This window comes from Homo sapiens, chromosome 15, assembly GCF_000001405.40.
Source record: "Homo sapiens chromosome 15, GRCh38.p14 Primary Assembly".
Lineage (NCBI taxonomy): Eukaryota > Metazoa > Chordata > Mammalia > Primates > Hominidae > Homo > Homo sapiens.
Genome location: NC_000015.10, coordinates 72,543,212 through 72,567,475, shown reverse-complemented (window position 1 = coordinate 72,567,475; position 24,264 = coordinate 72,543,212). Strand labels below are relative to the sequence as shown.

At 37.8% G+C, this 24,264-nt stretch overlaps 1 protein-coding gene across 1 annotated transcript in view; it reads right to left on the bottom strand.

Annotated features, from left to right (window-relative positions):
- The window catches only part of ARIH1 (ariadne RBR E3 ubiquitin protein ligase 1), a 128,658-nt gene that overhangs the window by 35,512 nt on the left and 68,882 nt on the right, over positions 1 to 24,264 (bottom strand). The window contains exons 3-9 of the mRNA NM_005744.5: positions 22,512 to 22,656; positions 12,113 to 12,205; positions 11,569 to 11,624; positions 5,927 to 5,993; positions 3,976 to 4,082; positions 871 to 913; positions 299 to 370 (exon numbers count right to left, since the gene is read on the bottom strand). Coding sequence (NP_005735.2) covers positions 299 to 370; positions 871 to 913; positions 3,976 to 4,082; positions 5,927 to 5,993; positions 11,569 to 11,624; positions 12,113 to 12,205; positions 22,512 to 22,656 — 583 coding nt within the window. The remainder of the gene's footprint in view (positions 1 to 298; positions 371 to 870; positions 914 to 3,975; positions 4,083 to 5,926; positions 5,994 to 11,568; positions 11,625 to 12,112; positions 12,206 to 22,511; positions 22,657 to 24,264) is intronic.

Sequence of the window (24,264 nt, the reverse complement as noted above, 5' to 3'; positions counted from 1 at the left end):
AATCCCACACTTGAAAAATTATCAGCTTTTTCCTCTACAGAACACTAATTTTTTTTCCAGTAGAAGAAACCTAAGGCAGAGAACTGTGGATGCTGTACTACAGTACTCAATACTCTAAAATAAACTCAAAGAGAAAAAGGAAATAACAGGCAAACATTCTGGGAAAAAAAAAAAAAGACTCAATGGAGAAAAAGATGAAACAAAGCCTGTAAGTAGGTCACCTCATTGCTTTTGCTAATGCCAAAGTACCAATCCTTATCATTTTTATTACCAAGAGTTACTGAAGGAAAACACCAACCTTTGTGTTGGCTGCAATCCAATTGGAGGTTTCACTGTCATCATCACACTTTTTAATCCATTTCTTTAACCACTGTTTGAAAATAACAACGGTTAGGATACAACAAAAGACTTTTAAAAATAGCAAATTACTTTAGCACTTAACTATAGTCAAGCTTAAATGTAAAAGCCAATGAATAAGATTATCACTAGGCTCACATCCTCTTAAGCCAGGGAAATCCCATAGCTACAATGTCCAGTATATATAAAATCAACCAAAGCAGGATTTTCTTTGGCAGAAGCTGAGTGGGGAACCTAGAGCTTGAAGAGAAGCCCAACTGCAAGGTGTGTATTCCCCTAATTACAAAGCCTGACAAAGAGGTGCCTTAGCCATGGTTATCCTAATAACAATCAGGAGCTGACTTGGCTTATCCTAAGGAATTACCTCTGAATACATGTAATGATCATCTGAAATTAAAAGGATAAAAAAAAATCTATCAATAGATAGATAACAAAATCATCAGCTATGATTTTTAGTCACTAAGTCTTAGAAGTGTGCCATTATTTAAAAATTGAAATGTCAGACAAACTCACCTTACATTTAACAGGATCATGCCAATTTTCTCCACAGTTAAAGCTGTTAAGTGACACAAAGAGTTAATAGAATTAAGGCCTACCTACTGTAAGCAAGTAAATAAGCCAATCATTTCATGCCTTATAGTTCCACAGTATTGTCACTAGTTTCTAGTGACTGGCAAATACAAGGAGAGAACCCATGTCTGCTTTACAGTTAATTACCTAGAATTTAGTAGTAGAACTAGCACATAGTGGGTACTCAATATGTGTGAAGAATGACTATAAGCATGAAGACACGCTTTGATGACAATTTCATAATAATTGTTGCTAAGGTGCCTCAGACTATATTGAGAAGTTTCAACCCATGCTTCATCAGTGCATTTTTAATCTTTTACTTAACACCCTAAATGAAGAATAAAAGGCTGACTTTGTAGGTTACTTATATAATTTAGTACTAATACACAGTAAACAATATATGGGAAGCAAATAGGTCACATCTTTGCATTATTTAAACAAATGAACCTCCGCCCTGTAGAGGGAAATGGTACTGGGCAAGGTATAAAACAAAAAGACTAAATACTCACTAAACATGTGTTAATCAGTAATTCACTTTTGTTTTCTAAGTTCATGACATATACACTTGTAAAAGAAGTATAATTAACAAACACAAATGCTTAAGAAAAAAATAATAAAATGACAGATTAATTAGCTAATTAAGTAATTTACGAATGGCAAAAAGTCCTTTGCTAAAGACAGAAACAAACTACTATTGATTTAAATCAGGTTAAGATAAATGGTTATTTCTGAAAAGAAAGATGGGGAATGGGAAGGAGCAGGGAACCAAGGAGCTTCAAATATATGTGTCATGTTTTATCTCTTAATGAAGAAAAACAAAATACTAATTTTGATTTAACTGGATTGTAGCTATATAGGTATTCACTGCTGTATTCTCTATACTTTTATGTTTGAAATGTGTCACGCTAAAAATACATTGGAAAGTAGGTATTATCCACCTTTTCTCTAAAATAACAATACATAATTAATCTTTATCGAAACAGTATGTATTTTACACATACTTAATCTCTGTGAGCTTACCTGCTCTTTTTGGAAATATTTATTATTAATGATGTGTTAAGTGTAATTCTATAGATGTTTGGAGGAAAAAAAGAAAGGTATGGAATACCAATAAAATATTTCCCCCTCCAAACCACCCCGCAGCAAAAAAGAAAATCTGGCTGGCCATGGTGCTTCTCACCTGTAATCCCAGCACTTAGGGAGGGCCGAGGCAGGTGGATTACTTGAGGCCAGGAGTTCAAGACCAGCCTGGCCAACAAGGTGAAATGCTGTCTCTATTAAAAATAAATACATAAATAAATAAACAAATAAATAAATAAATAAAAATTAGCCAGGCGTGGTGGCACACGCCTGTAATCCCAGCTACTCAAGAGGCACAAGAATCACTTGAACCTGAGAAGCAAAGGTTACAGTGCGAGATCGTGCCACTGCACTCCAGCCTGGGTGATGGAGTGAGACCCTCTCTCAAAACAAAACAAAACAAAAAATCTATTTGCTGGGTCTAGAGCCCCTTGACTTGATTGGCTTCTTACTCCTCAAGACCCTCAAAGGAACAGAAAATCATCTTAACTTCTAGCAGGATATAAATGTTTGTGTCCCCCTAAAATGTGTATGTTAAAACTTAATAACCAATGTGACAGTATTAGGATGTGGAGCCTTTAGGAGGTGAATGGAATTGGCATCCTTTTTAAAAAAAAAAGGGGCCCAGAGAGCTGCCTTGTCCTTTCCACCATATGAGGACCCAGCAAGTAGGCACCATCTATGAACCAGAAAAGCAGGCCCTCGCCAGACAACAAATCTTTTGGCACCTTGATCTTGGACTTCTCACCCTTAAGAACTGTAAGAAATAAATTTATGTTGTTTAGAAGCCGCCCAGTTTATGGTCTTTTGTTATAAAAGCCTGAACATTAAGACAGAAAATGGTACCAAGAAGTGAGGGTGCTGTTCTAACAAAACCAAAAATGTGAAAGCCGATTTGAAACTAGGTAGTAAGTAGAGGCTGGAAGAGCTTGGAAGTGCAAGCTAGAAAAAGCCTAGATCACTGTGAATGAACTGAATTGTTAAGGGTAATTCTGGTGAGGATTCAGAAAGACAGAAGTGCAGGGAATGCCTCAATCATAGAGAAAACCTAAATAAATGGCCATGAACAGAATGTTGTTAGAAATATGGACAGTAAAGGCCATTATGATGAGGTCTCAGATGAAAATGAGGAACATGCTGTTAGAAACTAGAGGAAAGGCCATCCTTGCTATAAAGTGGCAAAGAAGTTGGCTGAATTGTTTTGTGGAAGGTAGAGAAATGAAACTGAATATCTGGTTGAGGAAATTACTAAGCAAAGTGTTGAAGACGCAGCTTAGCTTCTCTTGAATGTTTATAGAAAATGCAAGAAGAGATGAATGACCTAGAGATAAACTGTTCATCAAAAGGAAATAAGAAGTCAAAAATTTGAAAAATTTTCAGCCTATCCACTTTGGAAAAAACTAGAACACCTATAAAGGAGCCTGAACTGATTAAGACATCCCCTAATATGTGGCACTGGAAACTTCCTGGCAGTTCAAATCTAGAATTCAGAGGCTGAAGAGTATACTATAGAACTCCAAAAGCCCAAGTTACCAAGAAAGCTGGGCGAGAGGAGCCACAGGAAAACTCTTAGTTAAAAAGGAGACCATCAGCAGAATTTACCTGCACATTTCCTTTGCATAAGTAAGGTTAAAATTTGGCAGAGTAAAGAAAAACGTATAGTCCCAGATCTACAAGTTTGCTCCCATTAAGTTACAGTGGAGCATACAGGAAGATATGATTAGAGTTGTATATTTTCTCCATAAAAAAAAATTCAAAAAAGTTAGAACATCAAGGAAAGAGGAAAAATTTTTTTAAGATGTGACCTTTTCATTCAATTCTGAAAGAGATATATACTATTTTAAACCAGTATCAAACATCTCCCTGCCTAAGGTAAACACTTTTTTTCTGCTATTTTACTACCAAGAATAAACAGGAGAAATGGAAACGCTTTGTGCACTATTTCAATTTAGGAAATCACTTGCTTACCAAAATTGGCGCCCACATTTGCAGCGAACAGGTTTAGCATCAGGATATTGGACTTTAACAACATGGTGGCAATCTGGGGCAGGACACCACTTTAACAGTCGATTGCACTGAAATACAAGTTAGAAAATAAAAAATGACAGCTGGCTGGGCACAGTGGCTCACACCTATAATCCCAGAACTTAGGGAGGCCAAGGCGGGAGGACTGTTTGAGGTCAAGCACTCCAGACCAGCCCGGGCAACATAGCAAGACCTTGTCTCTACCTTAAAAAAAAGAAAAAAGAATTTAGCCAGGCATGGTGGTATGTGCCTGTAGTCCCGACTACACAGGAGGCTGAGGCAAGAGGATCACTTGAGCCCAGGAAGTAGAGGCTGCAGAGAGCTGTGATCATCTGCTGCACTCCAGCCTGGGTGTTAGAATGAGGCCCTGCCTCAAAAAAAGACAGCAAATTAAATTAGGTCATGATGCAAGATTTCCTAGTACATCAAGCTATTTATATTGCTTCTCTGGTACAAGGGGCAAATGGGGGATAATTACACAAGCTTATGAAAACTTGCTGTGGTCTTCTATAGCAACACTTCAGATGTGCCTTTTTTTTTTTTTTTTAAAGATGACTGATCCCTGAAGACCTGGTTTTATAAAATACATGAATCACCTCTTGTTCTATCTTCAAAATCCCACTGAATAACTTTAATTAAATATCATGTATGTGACCATTAAAAACCACTAATTTATTTACAGTTCTATTTCAGAACAATTTTCAAAAGACACAAGAAAATCAGATATACTCTTTATCAAGGAAGGTGTTTAGAAGCTACAGAATAGTTCAAGATAGGCTAAAGGATATACATACAACTTCTCCCATAAAAAGCTCTTGTAAGAAGGAAAAAAAAAAACAAACAAAAAACCCAGTTCCTAAACCACAGGCAAAGATTGCATTTTAGTTCCTCAAAAGGAAATATAACTTTTATAGTATTATGAAAAAAAAACACTCTGCACCAGAATTCAGAAGTCCATTGACCATTTCAAATAATACACTATTTCTAAAATAGGCTGTTTCCAGGTTTAATCTCTAACAGAAATAATTACTTTCTAGAATTAAAAGACCAAGTTACTGATGTTGTCATACAGGGGCTGAAAAACTCCTCTGTAACAAGCCAAGAGGGTAAAGAATTTTGGTTTTGCAGGCCAGAACAGTCTCTGTAGCAACTACTCAACTCTGCCACTGTAGCACAAAAGGAGTCATAGAACAAATGGGCAAAGGCATGGTCCAATAAAGGATAGCATTCTTTATTAACAAGATTTACTGGTAATGAAACCTAAAACGAGCAGAGAAATAGCAGGGTTAGAATCTCAAACATGATTAAACATGACACGATTAGTAATCTACTACAATTCTCAGCTAGGGATAAAGAAAAGTAAAGGAAGAATACAGTAAAAATAATTTTATTATCCAAGGTCAAGATCTATGGAGAGATGTACTTACTGGTTTCTCATACTCTTTTATTTTATTTTATTTTATTTTTTATTAAGAGGGAGTCTCGCTCTGTCACCCAGGCTGGAGTGCAGTGGCGCCATCTCGGCTCACTGCAACCTCTGCCTCCAGGGTTCAAGCGATTCTCCTGCCTCAGCCTCCCGAGTAGCTCGGATTACAGGCTTGTGCCACTGTGCCCAGCTAATTTTTGTATTTTTAGAAGAGACAGGGTTTCGCCATGTTGGTCTTGAACTCCTGATCTCAGGTGATCCACCCGCCTCGGCCTCCCTTAGTGCTGGGATTACAGGCATGAGCCACCACACCTGGCCTGTCATACTCTTTTGAGAATAAAGGTATTTTGGCATGCTTCATAAATATGTTAAAGATGTTTTTTACTGTCAATAAATTATAATTTTTAAAATAGTATTTCTATTAATAAACAGAATTCCTTCTTACAAGAAGGAAAACAAATCACTTACCTCTACAAAGCTATTTGTTATTAAATGCTGATACTTTAATTTAACTTTTGAATCTGTGATCAGGCGCCTGAAACCAAGAATAAAAATAGATTAGAAAGTTTCCAGTCAAGAGTATTTTCCACATTTATAAAACATAGTTTCAAAAGCTGTTTATGCTACGGCTACATGTTTATGCCCTAAGCTGTAAATACTGAAATGCACATAGGCTATCAACAAATATAACTGTACTGATCAGAACAATAATTTCAAAGTTTGTATAGTTTTATTTTCATAGACTTTTTTTCCATGGTTCTTATTTTTTAAATAGTCTACTTTTACCCAGTTTTTATTACAGCCTAATGACTTACCAACTAGTGCCAAGTATAAGCGCATTTCAGGGTCTTTTGACTCTGATATCATATCATGCCTTAAGACAGCAATTCTCAGCCACCTTCCTTCAGACACCCCACCCAAATCAGTATGCGAAATGAGACAGATATTGTTGCCAGAAATGTTAAGAAATGGATCCAGGTTTTGTGATACCTAAAGCTGATACAATTTTAAGAGCCTTCTTCTTCTGAGAGCTCTTAGAAATTAACCAGAAATGCTCACTGACTGCATCCTGGCCTCTTCTGAACACTATAACTCACAAGAATTTCCAGAATTCACAGGATCCCACGTAGTGAGGAATCCTGAAGTTTAAGTTTCATTAGTTCTATGGTAAATACTCCTCTGAGTGTATTCCCACTGAGAAAGACATGAAGAACATGCATGTAGTTCAACCCCATTAAAATCTTTTAAATGAACCAATCTGGCCTCATTTGACTCTTGAGCTTCATAGGCCTCTCTCCTTCCACAAGATCCCACCCTGTCCTGTGGCACTTTCAGTGCACTCCTATCACATTCGTATTCTTGTATTTCCTCAAAACAGTAAGTACCACCCTTCCTCAGAGGCTGTGCATAAGGCTGCCTCCCTTGGAAAGACAAGAATATTGTAATGGAGCTCTAAGGTGGGACAGCCTAGGTTTGAATGCCAGCCTCACAACTCACTAGCTATGAATTGAAGGTAAATTCTTTGAACTCTCCATTTCTCAGTTACTAATCTGTAAAATAGATATCAGAAACATGGTTGTGAGACTAGAATAGTGCCTGGCAGATAGTAAGCACTCAATAAATATTAGACGCTATTACTGTATTACTTCACTCAGTTACAATAAAGTATTACTCAAGGAAGCCTTTCCTGAGTTTCCACACTCGTTTGGATATAGATACCCTCTCAGTTCTCATGGCACCTTAAACATCTACTTTATAGAAATTATCATAATTTTAATTAGACAGTTATCTGTATAATCATTTGTTTAATATCTGTCTTTCTCCTCCCAACCCCATGAAAGGATCCCCAGGTGTCCAGTACGCCTGTAGAAAGTGTTCAATTAATATTTTTTAAATGAGTAAATCTCCATATTTCACAGAAGTGGAACCTGCGGTCTAAAAATAATTTGTGTATTTGATGGTTCCTCAAAAAGTTAAACATAGCATTACCACAAGACCCAGGAATTCTCCTTTGAAATATATATACTTAAGAGAATTAAAAACAGATGTTCAATGAAAAACTTGTACACAAATGTTCATATGTTCACATAAGACATTTCCGTAAAAAATGGAAATGTCCATATAATGGAACCATTATTCAGCAATGAAAAGGAGTAAAGTGATGATTCATGATACAACATGGATGAATCTTGAAAACATTAAAGAAGCCAATCACAAAAGGCAACATATTACATGATTCCCTTTATATGAAATGTCTAGAATAGGCTAATCCACAAAGACAGAAAGCAGATGAGTGGTTGCTAGGGTCTAGGGGGAGAAAGGAATAGCGAATGACTGCTTAACGGATATAAGGTGATTAAAATAGTCTGCAATTAGGTGATGTTTGTAGAATAATATTATGTATATACTAAAAGCCACTGGATAATATACTTAAAAATACAGTTGCTGGCCATGTGCGGTTGCTCACGCCCGTAATCTTAGCACTTTGGGAGGCAGAGGTGGGTGATCACTTGGGGTCAGGAGTTCAAAACCAGCCTGGCCAACATGGTGAAACCTCGTCTCTACTAAAAATACAAAAAAATTAGCCGAGCATGGTGGCAGGCACCTGTAATCCCAGCTACTCAGGAGGCTGAGGCAGGAGAATCACTTGAACCTAGGAGGTAGAGGTTGCAGTGAGCCGAGATCATGCCACTACTGCACTCCACTCTGGGCAACAGAGAGAGATTCCATCTTAAAAAAACAAAAAACAAAAAAAACCCCATTGCTTCTTAAACAACACAGGTTTGAACTGCATGGGTCCACTTATTTATGAATATTTTTCAACCAAACAGGGATCAAAAATAGTTATTTGTGGGATGTGAAACCTGCATATATGGACGGTCAAATTTTTGTATACATGGGTTCTGCTGGGCTGACATGAGCATGCGCAGATTTTGGTATATTCAGGGTGGAGGACGTGGGTCCTAGAACCAATCCCCAGTATACTAAGGATAACTGTAATTAAAATGAGTTTTATATTACAGATTTTATATCAATAAATAATAATAAGGAATGTATCAGGCCAAAAGTCAGATGCCTTGATTGCCAAACACACACATCTTATTTACACATGTATTACCCATAATGCTTTTCTGGTATGACAAACCCTAATGATTTCTGATAGCTGGCCTTAGCCTAAAAAGCTATCTAAACCTGGCATGGACCACCAGGACGTGAGAGCAAACATCAGCCAACAGTTATTAGGACAAGGTTCCACCCTTAGTTTATCTGATATTGATAAGGAAGTAAAAGAAAGTGAGCATCCATCTTCAAGAATAGGCATTCTCAAGAAGGTGGCAGCAAGTGTCACTCTGGTCATTAATAAGACAATTCTCTTGACAAAGATTTGTTACCATCACAAATTGAAAATAGTTATTGGCCAGGCTTGGTGGCTCACGCCTGTAATCCTAGCACTTTGGAAGGCCAAGGCGGGCAGATCGCCTGAGGTCAGGAGTTCGAGAACAGCCTGGCCAACATGACGAAACTCTGTCTCTACTAAAAATACAAAACTTATCCGGACGTGATGGTGTACACCTGTAATCTCAGCTACTCAGGAGGCTGAGGCAGGAGAATTGCTTGAACCCGGGAGGCAGAGGTTGCAGTGAGCCGATATGGTGCCACTTGTACTCCAGCCTGGGCAAACCAATAAATGTAATTCACCACATAAACAGAATTAAAAACCATACGATCATCTCAAATGACACAGAAAAAGCTTTCAATAAAGTCCAACATCTCTTCATGATAAAAACTATCAACAAACTAGGCTTTGAAGGAACATACCTCAAAACATTAAGAGCCATCTATGATATGACAAACCCATAGCCAACATCATACTGAACAGGCAAAGGCTGGAAGCATTCCACTTAGGAAAAGGATGCCCACACTCACCACTCCTATTCAACATAGTACTGGAAGTCCTGGCCAGAGCAATCAGGCAAGAGAAAGAAATAAAATGTATCTAAATAAGAAAAGAAGTCAAACTATCAATCTTCACTGATGATGATTCTATACCTAGAAATAACCCTAAAGACTCTGCCAAAAGGCTCCTAGAGCTGACAAAGTCAGTAAAATTTCAGGATACAAAATCAATGTACAAAATTCAGTAGCATTTAATATATACCAATAACATTCAAGGTAAGCGCCAAATTAATAATGCAATCCTATCGATAATAGCCACACACACATAAATGGTTGTTGGGATAACTAGCTAGCCACATGCAGAAGAATGAAACTTGACCCCTATATCTTTCACCATATACAAAAATTAACTAAAGGATTAAATACTTTAATGTAAGAGCTCAATCTATAAAAATCTTAAAAGAAAATCCAGGAAATACCATTCTAGACATCAGCCTTGGCAAAGAATTTATGACTAAGTCCCCAAACGCAACTGCAACAAAAGCAAAAATTGACAAGTGGGACTTAATTAAACTAATGAGCTTCTGTACAGCTGAAGAAACTATTAACAGAGTAAACAGACAACCTACAGAATGAGAGAAAATATTTAAAAATTATACACCCAACAAAAGCCTCATATCCAGAATCTATAAGGAACTTAATCAAACAAGCAAAAAACAAATAACCCCATTTAAAAATGAGCAGGCTGCTTTGTCAACGAAGTAGCCATTCTTTTGTTTCTTTACTTCTCTAATAAACTTGCTTTCACTTAAAAAAAAGAAAGAAAAAGGGCAAAGTACATGAAAAGACATTTCTCAAGAAGACATATACGCAGCCAACAGGTACAAAAAAATGCTCAACACCACTAATCACTAGAGAAATGCAAATCAAAACCGTAATGATGTACCACATCATCTCACACCAGTCATAAGGAATATTATTAAAAAGTAAAAAAAAATTAAACAAAAAATAATTTTAAAAAGTAAAAAAATAACAGATGTTGGTGAGATCACAGGGAAAATAAATCATTCTACCAAAAAGACACATTCACTAGTATGTTCACTGTGGCATTATTCACAATAGCAAACACACGAAATCAACCTAGATGCCCATCAACAGTGGACTGGATAAACAAAATGTGGCACATGGACACCATGAAACACTATGCAGTCATAAAAAAAAGTGAGCACAATCATGTCCTTTGCAGCAATACAAATGCAGCTAGAGGTCATCATCCTAAATGAATTAACACAGAAATACTCAATACCACATGTTCTCATTTATAAGTGAGAGCTAAATAGTGAGTACACATGAAGATGAGAATAAAAGACTATTTAGACTGGGGACTACTAGAGTGGGTAGGGTGGGACGGCAAGAGTTGAAAAACTATCAGGTATTGTTCTCACTACCTGGGTGATGGGATCATTTGTACACCAAACCTCACGGACAAGGAATTTACCCATGTAACAAACCTGCACATGTATACCTGAACCTAAAAGTTAAAAGAAAAAAAAGAAAGAACCTTTCACAAGAAGAGCTGTTAGCTGAAAGCATCCAGCTGTAGTGTATCTGAAATCAGCAGCAGTGTTTCAGCAAAGACCATGACTCCCTGGGTAGTCCCAGCCAACAACTGAGCATATCAAGTGTACTGGGCCCAGCTCTTTCTACTTATTGAGGTATTCCTCTATGGGCAATCTATGCACTGAAGTTCCCCCATCAGGGCTGCCAAAGACTCTCATAGCTGTATCATATAAAGTCTCTTCCTATTGAATCTTCCTTCTTTGTCTTTTAACAGATGTCAGGCCTATATCAATGTCTATCTGCTCCTGCTGTTTACCTTGCACAGATGCTATTCCACAATAAGTCAGTTTCACCTTTTATTCTATCTTGGGATCTGCTTCCAAGAACACCTCAACTAACACATACACACATTCTAATCTCCAATCCCAAGGTTTATCAAAATCTAGCTACCATGCATTTCTAAGTTTGTAAGAATAGTGATCAGGCATTTAACCAAGTTACAAATGGGCTTTTGTACTACTACTAAGGAACGCAGATTAAAAAGTTTCTTCAGACTTTAAAAAGTTTCACTTCCTTTGAGGTACTAAGTAAAAATTAATTTGGTTTAACCAACTAACCAATATTCACATGCAGAATCTATCAAAAATACTTACATAACTGTGTTGTCATCCACTAAGATATCACAACCATGAGCAGGACACGAAATAGTCTGAAAAAGATTGAAATTTAAACTGTCTTCATTCAACAAATATTTAATGAATGCTTACCATCGCCAGGCACTTTGCTAGGTTCTGGGAATACCTTAATGTTTACAGGATCTCAATCCTTCCCTTTCTCCTTAAAGGAAATGTGTGTGAGAGTATGTTTATCACCATAAAGTAACTAGACTTGCTAACCTGACTAATTGGTTTTTAAACACACAATTTTAAAGGCAAAAGCGAGATAATCTGACAAAATCGTGCAACAAGTTTAAGTTAACATATACCAATATTGATGCCGGCTGAGAAAACGTTACCTGGAGTGGCTCTTTAACTGGAATGCCACATTACTTTAGGAAAAAGCCTATTATCTTTAGTTGTTTGAATCTAGAATCATGACACATAAAGCTTCACCTGTTTTTATTTGTGCAAATTTGTGCAAGGGTCTTAACACTATAGGAAATTCAACAAAAACTGAAAAACAACTTGATATCTTTACCTGACCCATGCCTTCTTCCATTATTTTGGTAGTTAAATATTCACTCCAGCACTGCATACAAAACTTATGTCCACATTCAAGGCCAGTGAAATACTGTAAGAAAAACAAAACATGAACTTAACAAAGGTATTATCAGAAAACTCACTATAAACAGTGACTCAACAGGGCTCTGTAAGGTCACATTTCTTACGTGGCTAAAATGTCCAATTTGACAATAGATGGGCTCCTAAAATGAACTTTTCATGGTGAATCTAGACATGCAGATACACCGAACACACATACATCTTAGGAAAGGCGGGCAACAATGTTTGTATTAAATATAAAAAGACAAATGAGCATATGAAAGAATACTCAGTATCATTCAGCATCATGGAAATGCAAATCAAAACCACCATGAAGGCGGGGCAACATGGCAAAACCCTGTCTCTACAAAAAATACAAAATGAGTCAGCCATCATGACGCACGCCTGTAGTCCCAGCTACTTGGGAGGCTGAGGTGGAAGGACTGCCTGAGCCTGGGAGGCGGAGGTTGTAGTGAGCTGAGATCACACCACTGCACTCCAGCCTGGGCAAAGGAGTGAGACCCTGTCTCAAACAAAACAAAACAAAACAAAGCAACACCACAGTAAGACACCACTTCACCCTCACTAGAACAGCTATAATAAAAAGACAGATAAAGCAGAGCACACTGGCTCATATCTGTAATCCCAGCACTTTGTGTGGCTGAGAGCGGAGGATTACTTGAGGCAAGGAGTTCAAGACCAGCCTGGGCAACATAGTGAGACTCTGTCTCCACAAAAAATTAAGAAATTAGCCAGGTGTGGTAGCACATGCCTGTAATCCCAGCTACTCAGGGGAGCTGAGGTGGGAAGATCACTTGAACCTGAGAGGTCAAGGCTACAGTGAGCTGTCATCATGCCACTGCACTCCACACCAGGCAACAAAGTGAGACTCTATTTGGAAAAAAAAAGCCAATATTAATAACAAGTGTTGGTGAGGATGTAGAAAAATTGGAGCCTTCGTACACTGTTGATGGAAATGTAAAATGGTACAGCAACTTTGGAAACAATCAGGCAGTTCCTCAAAATATTAAACATAGAGTTACCATAGGACCCAGCAATTCTAATCCTGGGTATATACTCAAAAGAAATGAAAACATACATCCATACAAAAACTTGTACACAAGTGTTCATTATAGCATTATTCGTAACAGCCAAAAAATGAAAACAATCCAGATGTCCATCAACTGAAGAAAAAAATATTTTTCCATATTTCCATAAATAAAATATTATTCAGCCATAAAAGGAAATAAAGTACTGATAAATGCCACAATATAGATGAACCTTGTTTCCAAGGTTGTTCTCCTATCACTTGCACAGTGAAATTTCTTGTAAAAGAATGAAAATAAGCCAGTCATAAAAGATCACATATTGATTCTTTTTGTTTTGAGACAGAGTCTCACTCTGTCACCTAGGCTGGAGTGCAATGGCACCATCTCGGCTCACTGCAACCTTCGCCTCCCAGGTTCAAGTGATTCTTCTGCCTCAGTCTCCCAAATAGCTGGGACTACAGAAACGCACCACCACGCCCAGCTAATTTTTGTATTTTTAGTAGAAACAGGGTTTCACCATATTGCCAGGCTGGCCTCCAACTCCTGACCTCGTGATCCACCCACCTCGGCCTCCCAAAGCGCTGAGATTACAGGCGTGAGCCACCGTACCAAAACCTTGTTTGATTCTTTCATATGAAATGTCCAGAATAGGTATATCCATTGACAAAGAAAACAGATGAGCAGTTGCCTAGGGGCTGGGGGACTTGGGAGGAATTAGGGGGTGAATTTAAAAAGTTATCTCCTGGGGGGTTATAAAATGTTTTTAAAATTATGGCGATGGCACACAACTCTGTAGCATATACTAAAACCACTTTAAATGGGTGAACTGGATAGTATATAAATTATATCTCAATAAACCTGTTATGAAAAGATTTATTCAGAATAGCTAAGGATAATAGTAACTAACACTTTGTTCTAAAATCTTAAGAGTTAAGGGATCGTTAAATGAAGCAGTATCCTGTAATGGGACATTAAGTAAATACTTTAAATAATATTAGATGATCTGGAGGATTATGTCTTTTAAAAAGATTCAAATAATGGTTACCTTATTTTAAAGAACATTTTGCCATAATTTACCTCTAAATTATTTTTAATTGAGTAAGTTAAATAGACATTACTAAAAACAATTACTTTAACAGTACAAGTTCAGAGTTTATGTTGAAAAATAAGCCTCCCTAGGCCGGGTGCGGTGGCTCACACCTGTAATCCCAGCACTACTGGAGGCAGAGGTGGGCGGATCACTTACAGTCAGGAGTTTAAGACCAGCCTGGCCAAAATGGCAAAATCCTGCCTCTACTATAAATACAAAAATTAGGCAGGTGTGGTGGCAGGCACCTGTAGTCCCAGCTACTTGGCAGGCTGAGGCAGGAGAATCGCTTGAACCTAGGAGATGGAGGTTGCAGTAAGCCAAGATCGCACCACCGCACTCCAGCTTGGGTGACAAAGCGAGACTCTGTCTCAAAAAAAAAAAAAAACAGGCCTCCCTCATTCCCATCCCTGTTGTTTGTTTCCTCTACCCAGAAGCAACTGCTATTTCCAGTTTTTTACATATTCTTCCAGAGGTGTTCTAACGTACACACTTACACACACACTGTAACAGTACCACAAATTCTCTTCTGCACCTTGTTTTTTTTTGTTGTTGTTGTTTAAAAAAATCCAATAGGGCTGGGCACGGTGGCTCACGCCTGTAAGCCCAGCACTTTGGGAGGCCAAGGCGGGCAGATCATTTGAGGTCAGGAGTTTGAGACCAGCCAGGCCAACATGGCGAAACCCTGTGTCTATCAAAAATACAAAAAAACTAGCCAGGTGTGGTAGTGTATGCCTGTAATCCCAGCTACTCAGGAGACTGAGGCAGAAGAATCCCTTCAACCCGGGAGGCAGAGGTTGCAGTGAGCCAAGATCGCACCTTTGCACTCCAGCCTGATGACAGGGCAAGACTCCGTCTTAAAAAAACAAAAATAAATCCAATGGATTTCTCATATGGTACCACACTGGTGTGGGTTTGCCTCTTTATAGAAAGGTACCACAATTTTATTTATAGTCTACTATTAATGAACCTTTACACTGCCTTTTTTTTTCCTACTATACTACTGCATTGACTATATATACATCTTTGTGATCTTATGAATGTATCTTAGGACAAATCTGTAGAGGTGACATTATAATAAATATATACATTTACAATCTAATAGCTATCATCAGGCTCCCCTGCAAAGAGATTGTCGTCATTTATGCCGTGCAAGAGTACTTGATTTCTCATGCCCATGACAATGTAGTATATGATCCAACTCCTTGATCTTTGCCAATCTAATAGGTGAAAAACACACTAACTTCTTTAGTTTTGATTTGAATTTTTATTATAAATGAAATTATAATATTTCAAAAAAGGTTTTACACTGTATATTTCTTTTTCTGTATACTCTCTTGATATATTTTGCCAACTTTGCCTGTGGGTTTTTCACTTATTTACGGAGGCTTTTTACTTATGTAGGAAATTGGCCATTTATAAGTAGGGGAAATCTTTTCCCCCACTTTAATTCTTAGTGTTCATATTTTGTTGCCATACAGAAGCTCTTCACTCACAGTGAAACTTATCACCGTTTAAATTTACCGCTTGTGAATTCATTAACTTTTATTTATGAAGCTAGGTAGGAATCTTAAGTTTCTATTCCATATGGCTACCAAGTTGCTCTAACACCATGTATCAAATAATCCACCTTATTTGAAATGCCTCCTCTATAATACACTAAATTCTCCTTATGCATATTTGACTGTATCCTGTTCCACTGCTACCATGTATCAAATAATACACCTTATTTGAAATGCCTCCTCTGTAATACACTAAATTCTCCTCATGCATATTTGACTCTATCCTGTTCCACCGCTCTGTCTACTCTTGTATCTAGCAGGACTAGTCCTCACTCAGCTCTCCCCTGTCAATTTAATCTTCTTTTTCAATATTTTCCTATTTCTTCTATCTCAAATATTCAAGTCATTCTTTTATCTTAGTATTTGAAGTTTTCTTCATAGCAATCTTTCACATTTCTTATCAAGTTTATTCCTAGCTCTTTTATTCTTTCCTTTCGTGGCTCTTATAAAGGGTATTTTAAAATTCCCTTAGATTTTCTATTTAGCCATTATGTGACATGTACTTATAAAATTTCTGATGTTACTTATGATATTAGATACAAATATCTCGTTAGGACAGAAATTCTATATACAGCACATCAACTATATTTTTTAAATACAAAGACAAGGACATGAAAAGAAATCTATGAGAGGGCTGGGTACAGTGGCTCGTGCCTGTAATCCGAGCACTTTGGGAGGCTGAGGCAGGCGGATCACCTGAGGTCGGGAGTTCAAGACCAACCTGGCCAACATGGTGAAACCCTGTCTCTACTAAAACTACAAAAGTTAGCTGGGCATGGTGGCACACACCTATAATCCCAGCTACTCGGGAAGCTGAGGCAGAAGAATCACTTGAACCCGGGAGGCGGAGGTTGCAGTAAGCCGAGATCACACCACTGCACTCCAGCCTGGGCAACAGAGTGAGACTTCATCTCATTAAAATATATATATATATGAAGTGTATCAGTCCTGCAATTAGGTTTACTGAAAGAATGACATGTAAAATAAATATCAAGCTTAAAGGGAATCTATTATCATTACTCCCCATCAGAGAAGGAGATTTGGCACTAACTTGTTACCACATCACTAATGGAGTCTTTGATTTTTAAGGCTGTTAAAGGAAGGGGTATTCTGTAAAAGACACAAATACAGTAAATATATCAGCAACTCTAAAATGTTTTATTCAAAACTTAAAAACATATACACATGCTTATATGTGCTTCATTCTTTTTTCAAGTAGGAATCCTTAACAGAGATCAACGGTCACAATGGTTACTAAGTGATCACTTTAAGTCTCAACCTTTTTTGACTTCTAGTCTAGAGCTCATTTTAAGATAAAAAGATAGTTCATAAATGTAATCACACTCGTGTGAGATGCACCTCTCTCAACCTTGTTACAACTTCAGCACACAGATAAAAGCTTTTTATTCTTTTTAAATAACTTCTCTAATCAGATAACAAGATTAAACAAGTTAGAAAAATAAATCATACATGGATGTCTAAAGATAGAGCAAAAAAATAAAAACACCAAAAACCAAGACACAAATCTGTAGTCTAAAGATACATATTCATTGTGCTTTCGAGGAACATATTATTATCGCAGATATCTTCCTGTCTGTCTTACTTCCCTTTCCCTCTCCCTCCTCTGATATATTCGTTTCCTCATAACCTTGAGCTAGGTTCACCTACATGGCTCCCTGGGCTTTCCCCTGTCCCAGGGGATCATATTATCTATTCACTAAACTTATCCCTGTTTATATCACAAATACATCCGATCAAGAGAGTACACGAAAAATACATGAAATATTATCTACAAAAGAAATTAATGGACTTAAAGAAACTTAAGAATACACTCTTAAAGGTTTCATTTATCTGCATCACTTTACATACACAGCAACTAATGTCAAATAGCAGTAAGAAAATTAAGAATCTTTCTTCCATAATAAGTTGTCCATATAACCTCTAAAATTGAAACCCCTTTGTTTATAAAAATTGAACAAATGACCTGGGAATCGGTTCCCTTGTGTGTAAAATGTAATGTGTTAAAAGGAAAATAGGGTGGGACGTAGGTATTTTCAAGCAGTTTCCAGCAGCACCAAGATTCCACAGAGGGGCTTCAGGAATGGGGGACGGGATGGTGGACCACCCTTCCTCACAATTTCAACTCTGCCTTTACCTACTTCACATATCTTATTCTTAGAAAATACAAATTATTTACTTCATAAAAATGAGACACTGGCTGGCCGTGGCGGCTCACTCCTGTAATCCCAGCACTTTGGGAGGTCAAGGTGGGTGGATCACCTTAAGTCAGGAGTTGGAGACCAGCCTGGACAACATGGTGGAACCCCATGTCTACTAAAAATACAAAAATTAGACAGGTGTGGTGGTGGGCGGCTGTAATCCCAGCTACTCGGGAGGCTGAGGCAGGAGAATCGCTTGAAACTGCGGGGTGGAGGTTGCAGTGAGCCGAGAACATGCCACTGCACTCCAGCCTGGGCGACAGAGCAAGGCTCTGCCTCAAAAAAAAAAAAAAAAAGAGAGAGAGAGACGCTGTAGTCGAAGCTACATTTCCTAGCACAGTGGTGGGCCAGTACAGCTATTATCTTAACTACTTTAACCTAAAACATTAAGTTGGAATCTATGAATTTACAAAGTGCTCCAATGTCTCAGGACATTGTTTTGAAAGAAGCAGCCACTCAGGACAGTTAACTCCAAAGGGTTGTAAACTAAGCTATCAAAAGCACTTATTTTAAAATGTGCATGTGACACTGCATAAAGCAAAAATTGCTTTCTGGAAGGATAAAGATACTGAAGATATATATAATAAAAAAGTACAAATGCTTGGAGAGTAGTAAAATGTGGGAGTTATACAATGTAAGTGAAGAACTCACTCATCCAATAATAAAACTTTATGAAGAGTTTCAGGTGACATTTACTTCCAAAACTGAAGAGGTTAAAATTATCCTTCTATATGAGTCTAAAAATTATGAGGAAAGGACATCCTAGTTTTGTCATGATACTTTTCGGAACACTTAGCAGTTTCCATAATGCCTTACCTTACTTGCCAACCCATGTTGTTCCTTTTGCTATCTTATCCTATCACTTGCATAGTGAAATTTCTTGTAAAAGAGTAATTTCATTACATTTATTGCTTCCATTTCCTTTCCCACCTTCAAGTCAGTGACTCTTTAGCCCATGAAGTCTGGTTTCCCATCCTACCTCACTCCTTCATTTCATTTCAAATTAACTTTTTAAATCTTTTCTCTGAATCTTTTAGTACTATTTACCATCCCCCAGTTCTTGAAAGTACATTCTCTCTTCCTTGGACTTGCTACATTTTCCTCCTTAGCCTAACTACCATGCCTTCAGATGTTAGTTCAGATTTCTGTGGTAAGTCCTGCCTGATCAAAAACTGGGTTAGGTATCCCTCCAACACGTTCCCACAGTATCGTATCTTATATTTGCCCTACCAAAGCACTTACCACTCTTTCTGAATATGTCACCTTACTACTTATCTACCCAACTAACCTGCAAATTATCTGGTTAGGAATTATGTATTTATTCTCCATTGTTTCTTAGAATAGTGCCTAGTGTGTTCAATGAATAGGTTTCTCCATCATCAGTTACAAGTACAAAACAAAAATTTACACTGTAAATCTCAAGTCATGATTTTGAATTCTAGTTTGTTGAGATTGTTAGACCATATTAAGAACAGCGAGAAAGTTATAGTGGATATTTGGAAGCAGCCAAGCTTCAGTACTCAAATCAGAGTTAAGATTTAAGTTAAGAAGGAACTGTCTATGATAGGGCAGGAGGAAAAACGCCAAGAAGTAAGGAAACCTTGTAAAACCTGGGTCTTAGTATTACCTCACAGAAACATTTAACTGTAAGCACTATATAAATGTCAACTGGCAAGGAGAATCTGTTAAAGACAATAAAATAGTCAAAATATTAATATATTGTAACAGTAGTACTTTTTAAAAAATATTCAAATTAGAATTGTGATTTAAGGTAAGAGAAATGATACAATACTCAGGTTGGAAGAAAATTGAAAGAGTATCTTATTCAACTCATCAGAAAGAAAAAAGAAACTGTTGGGTGCGGTGGTGCACACCTGTAATCCCAGCACTATGGGAGGCCAAGGTGGGTGGATCACCTGAGGTCAGGAGTTCAAGACCAGCCTGGCCAATATGGTGAAACCCCGTCTCTACTAAAAATACAAAAATTAGCCGGGTGTGGTGGCCGGCGCTTGTAGTCCCAGCTACTCGGGAGGCTGAGGCAGGAGAATCACTTGAACCCAGGAGGCGCAGGCTGCAGTGAGCCAAGACTGTGCCATTGCACTCCAGTCTGGGCAACAAGAGCAAAACTCGTGTCAAAAAAAAAAGAGAAAAGGAAAGAGGCCAGGCGCGGTGGCTCACGCCTGTAATCCCAGCACTTTGGCATGCTGAGGCGGGCAGATCATGAGGTCAGGAGATCGAGACCATCCTGGCTAACATGGTGAAACCCCGTCTCTACTAAAAACACAAAAAATCAGCCAGGCGTGATGGCAGACGCCTGTAGTCCCAGCTACTCGGGAGGCTGAGGCAGGCGAATGGCATGAACCTGGGAGGCGGAGCTTGCAGTGAGCCGAGATCGCACCACTGCACTCCAGCCTGGGCGACAGAGCAAGACTCCGTCCCACCCCCCCCCCTCCAAAAAAAAAGAAAAGAAAAGAAAAGGAGAAGAAACCAAAACTGGAGGAGCGTGGTGGCTCACACCTATAATGCCAGCACTTTCAGAGGCCAGGTGGGCAGACTGCTTGAGCTCAGACAAGTTCCAGACCAGCCTGGGCAACATGGTGAAACCCCGTCTCTACAAAAAAACCAAAACAAACAAACAAACAAAACACACACACACAGGTGAAACCCCGTCTCTACAAAAAAAACAAACAAACAAAACAAAACAAACAAAACACACACACACACACACAGAAAAATCAGCCAGACATGGTGGCATGCGCCTGTGGTCCCAGCTACTTGGGAGGCTGAGGTGGGAGGATCGCTTGAGCCCAGGAGTTTGAGGCTGCAGTGATCACATCACTGCACTCCAGCCTAGACAACAGAGCAAGGCCGTCTCAAAAGAAAGAAAGAAAAAAGAAAAACCCAGTGACATTAAATGGCTTACCTCCCGCTAAAGCCAAAAATTTCACGTTAGAGTTACGATCAGAACTTGAGAATTTGAAAATTCAGTTCACCACTTTACCTACTAAATAACTCACTGATCATTCTATTTCTCTAAGAGTACTTTATTTTCTTTTAAAACTTTTCTCATCACTTGTACATGTGAACAAGTTAACTCCCCACAAATGGACCCCATTAGAGATACACATATACAACTCTAAGATAAACAATAAAAATCCTTCAATATAAATATAATATTAGCCAGGCTTGATGGTGCACGTCTGTAGTTCCAGCTACTTGGGAGGCTGAGGGAAAAGGATCACTTGAGCCCAAGAGTCTGATGAAGGCTGTAGTACACTGACTGTGCCTGTGAATAGCCATAACACTCCAGCCTGGGTAGCATAGTGAGACCCCCATCAACCAAATAATTGTTAAAATAACAGTGTCAAAGACTTGTTATATAGTAATTATTAGAAAGAGATGCTTAACTATTAAAGCAGAGAATATGAACAAGACAGTTGTAATTATCATAGAATTAAGTTATCTTAGACATCTTAAGACTAAACTTCCTTAGTAAACACTCAAGTAAATCAAGTAAGTAAATCATCTCAGTTCAGTAAATTCTATTTTATATTTTGAGACGGAGTCTCACTCTGTCGCCCAGGCTGGAATACAGTGGCATGATGTCAGCTCACTGTAACCTCTGCCTTCCAGGCTCAAGCAATTCTCATGCCTCAGCCTCCCAAGTAGCTGGGATTATAGACATGCACCATCATGCCAGGATAATTTTTTTGTATTTTTAGTTGAGACAGGTTTCCGCCATGTTGGCCAGGCTGGCCTCAAACTCCTGGCCTCAAGTGATCTGCCCACCTTGGCTTCCCCAAGTGCTGGGATTATAGGCATGAGCCACTGAGTCCAGCTTCAGTTCAATAAATTTTTAGGAAGGTTATTTGTACTTAAGGGATTAACATCAGTTCTTTGGTTCTCTTGCTATATCACTGGTTCTGCTCCAACTCTGTCCCCACATACCATATTTAACAATCTCCATTTGAATGGATTTGATTAAGTGAAAATCTTATCTTCTGAAGAATTCTGAGAGTTCCCTAGCAAATAGTATTAACGGTATTTTATGAGTGTTTCTGGATATTTAAAAAACACTTAAAGTTTAAATCTATTTTAATTTGGATGAGAAAGAATTCTACTTACTGCCTACTATTACACAATTCTCCCATGGTGATAGAATAAACTCCAGAAAGATTTAGGTCTATAAATGACAACTTGGACAAGTTGTTGCTGCTTTAAAAAACAAATGGGGGTTGGAGGTAAGAGGAACCAAGCTTTTACTCTTTTTCTTCCTTTCCTCACACTGAATACATTGATAGGTTATGGCTTAGAGGTTACTACTCCCAGACCCACAAATTTTCCTTTGTTTAAATAATGGAAGTTGATTTACCCTCTGAAATACAAAGTCAGCACTAGCCTTAAACTACCAGATACTCACCGAGTTAGGGTAGTTCAAGTAGCAGATCTGACAAGGCATATCCTGTGCTGATGACCTTGTATTCATCTGGCGTGTTCGAGACTTTTTACTTGGATTAATTACATGACACTCAGCAAAGAGCTTCTCCAGGTTTCCATCAAAGTACCTGCATTATTTAAACAGAAAGGATAAGAGCCCAGCAACTTGCACACTGTTAGAGCTCTCCAAAAACCTGACTTTCTATAGGGAAAAGCAAGAAGTTGAATTAAAATAAAACAAGATAACAACCTTTTTATTCAGAGGAAATAAAAGCTACATGGTACAAATTATAGCAAATAAAGGTGTGTGTATACATGTGCATATATATATATATTGCAAACAGCAAAAATTCAGTCTACTCTCATATATATGAGTGTGTGTGTGTGTGTGTGTATGTATGTAAACTAGTAGACTGAGTTTTGCTGCCTTTTTCCCCCTAAACTTTGGTTTTAAATAACTGAATCTTGGGAAATTAAGCTATTAGTATTTTAACAGTACTGCAACTAAAACTTAAGGATTAAAGTTGTGCTGTTGCTGGGGTACCTATGAAGAGTAATATTTTACATGGGTAGGCTGTATTTTATACAAATGAATTCATTTTATTAATAATTTTAGTTAAAGCAATTTAAACATATTAGCTTCAGTAAAGCATTTATCTTACTGCACAAATCATCTTAAAAATATAATTATTACGTGTCTCATTTTACATAATAGACTTGCTTTCTAAACATTATTTTGAAATATTTTTAATTTACTGAGAAAGGAGGAGGAATAAAACAAAGAAGTGTATCTTCAAACATTTTATATAAAATAAATTACATATTAGCTTTTCATAAAATATGTATCTAAATATAGAGTAGTTCCATATCTAAGACATCAAGAGTATATATATGCCAAGTACTACCTAGAGTTTTAACTAAATAGCAAACCTCTGGACAGAAGATAGTAGAGCAGACCTTAAGGTGGGTTGAGGTGGTTAAGATAACAGTAAATACTTAGCACAATGTTTCCAATTAATTCAGATGAGACATGTTCCCTGGCCTCCTGAAACAGCTTACTATTCAAAAGGGAAAAGCAATAGATATTAAAAAAAAAAAAACTTTTCAATCTGTAAAACCAATATAACCAGCAAAAATATTAATGTGCAATCTGGTCAATTACTTTTTGGGTTGTAAAGCCCAGATTACAGTAACTATAATGCTCTTTATATACAAACAGGAGATTTTCAATTTTAAAAGTAATCAATACTCAAAAGAAATTTCCAATATTTTTAATTAAGGTCTTGTTTAGGCTTTGTGTCAAAGGCTACTATATCTTACTGTACCTCCAGAAAAATCATTCAAATGAGAACAAACCATATCACTTCTCCTAAGACTAATAAATAAATATCTTTTTTATAAATACTTTGACTACAGCATAGTTCAATGAAATAATCATATTATCAATCGAAATGCCAACACATTATAAAAAGGAGGATTATCAGAAAGTTAAAAGTTGTCAGGAACTCATACAAATAGAAAATTAATGTCTCTGATGATTCAGATAATCAGAATATATTTAAAGCAGAAAATCAAATGCTTTCCTACAATTTTGAGACAGTCTCACTCTGTCGCCCAGACTGGAGTGCAGTGGCGCCATCTCGGCTCCCTGCAACCTTTGCCGCCCAGGTTCAAGCGATTCTACTGCCTCAGCCTCCCGAGTAGCTGGGATTACAGGCGCCGCGGTGGCTCACACC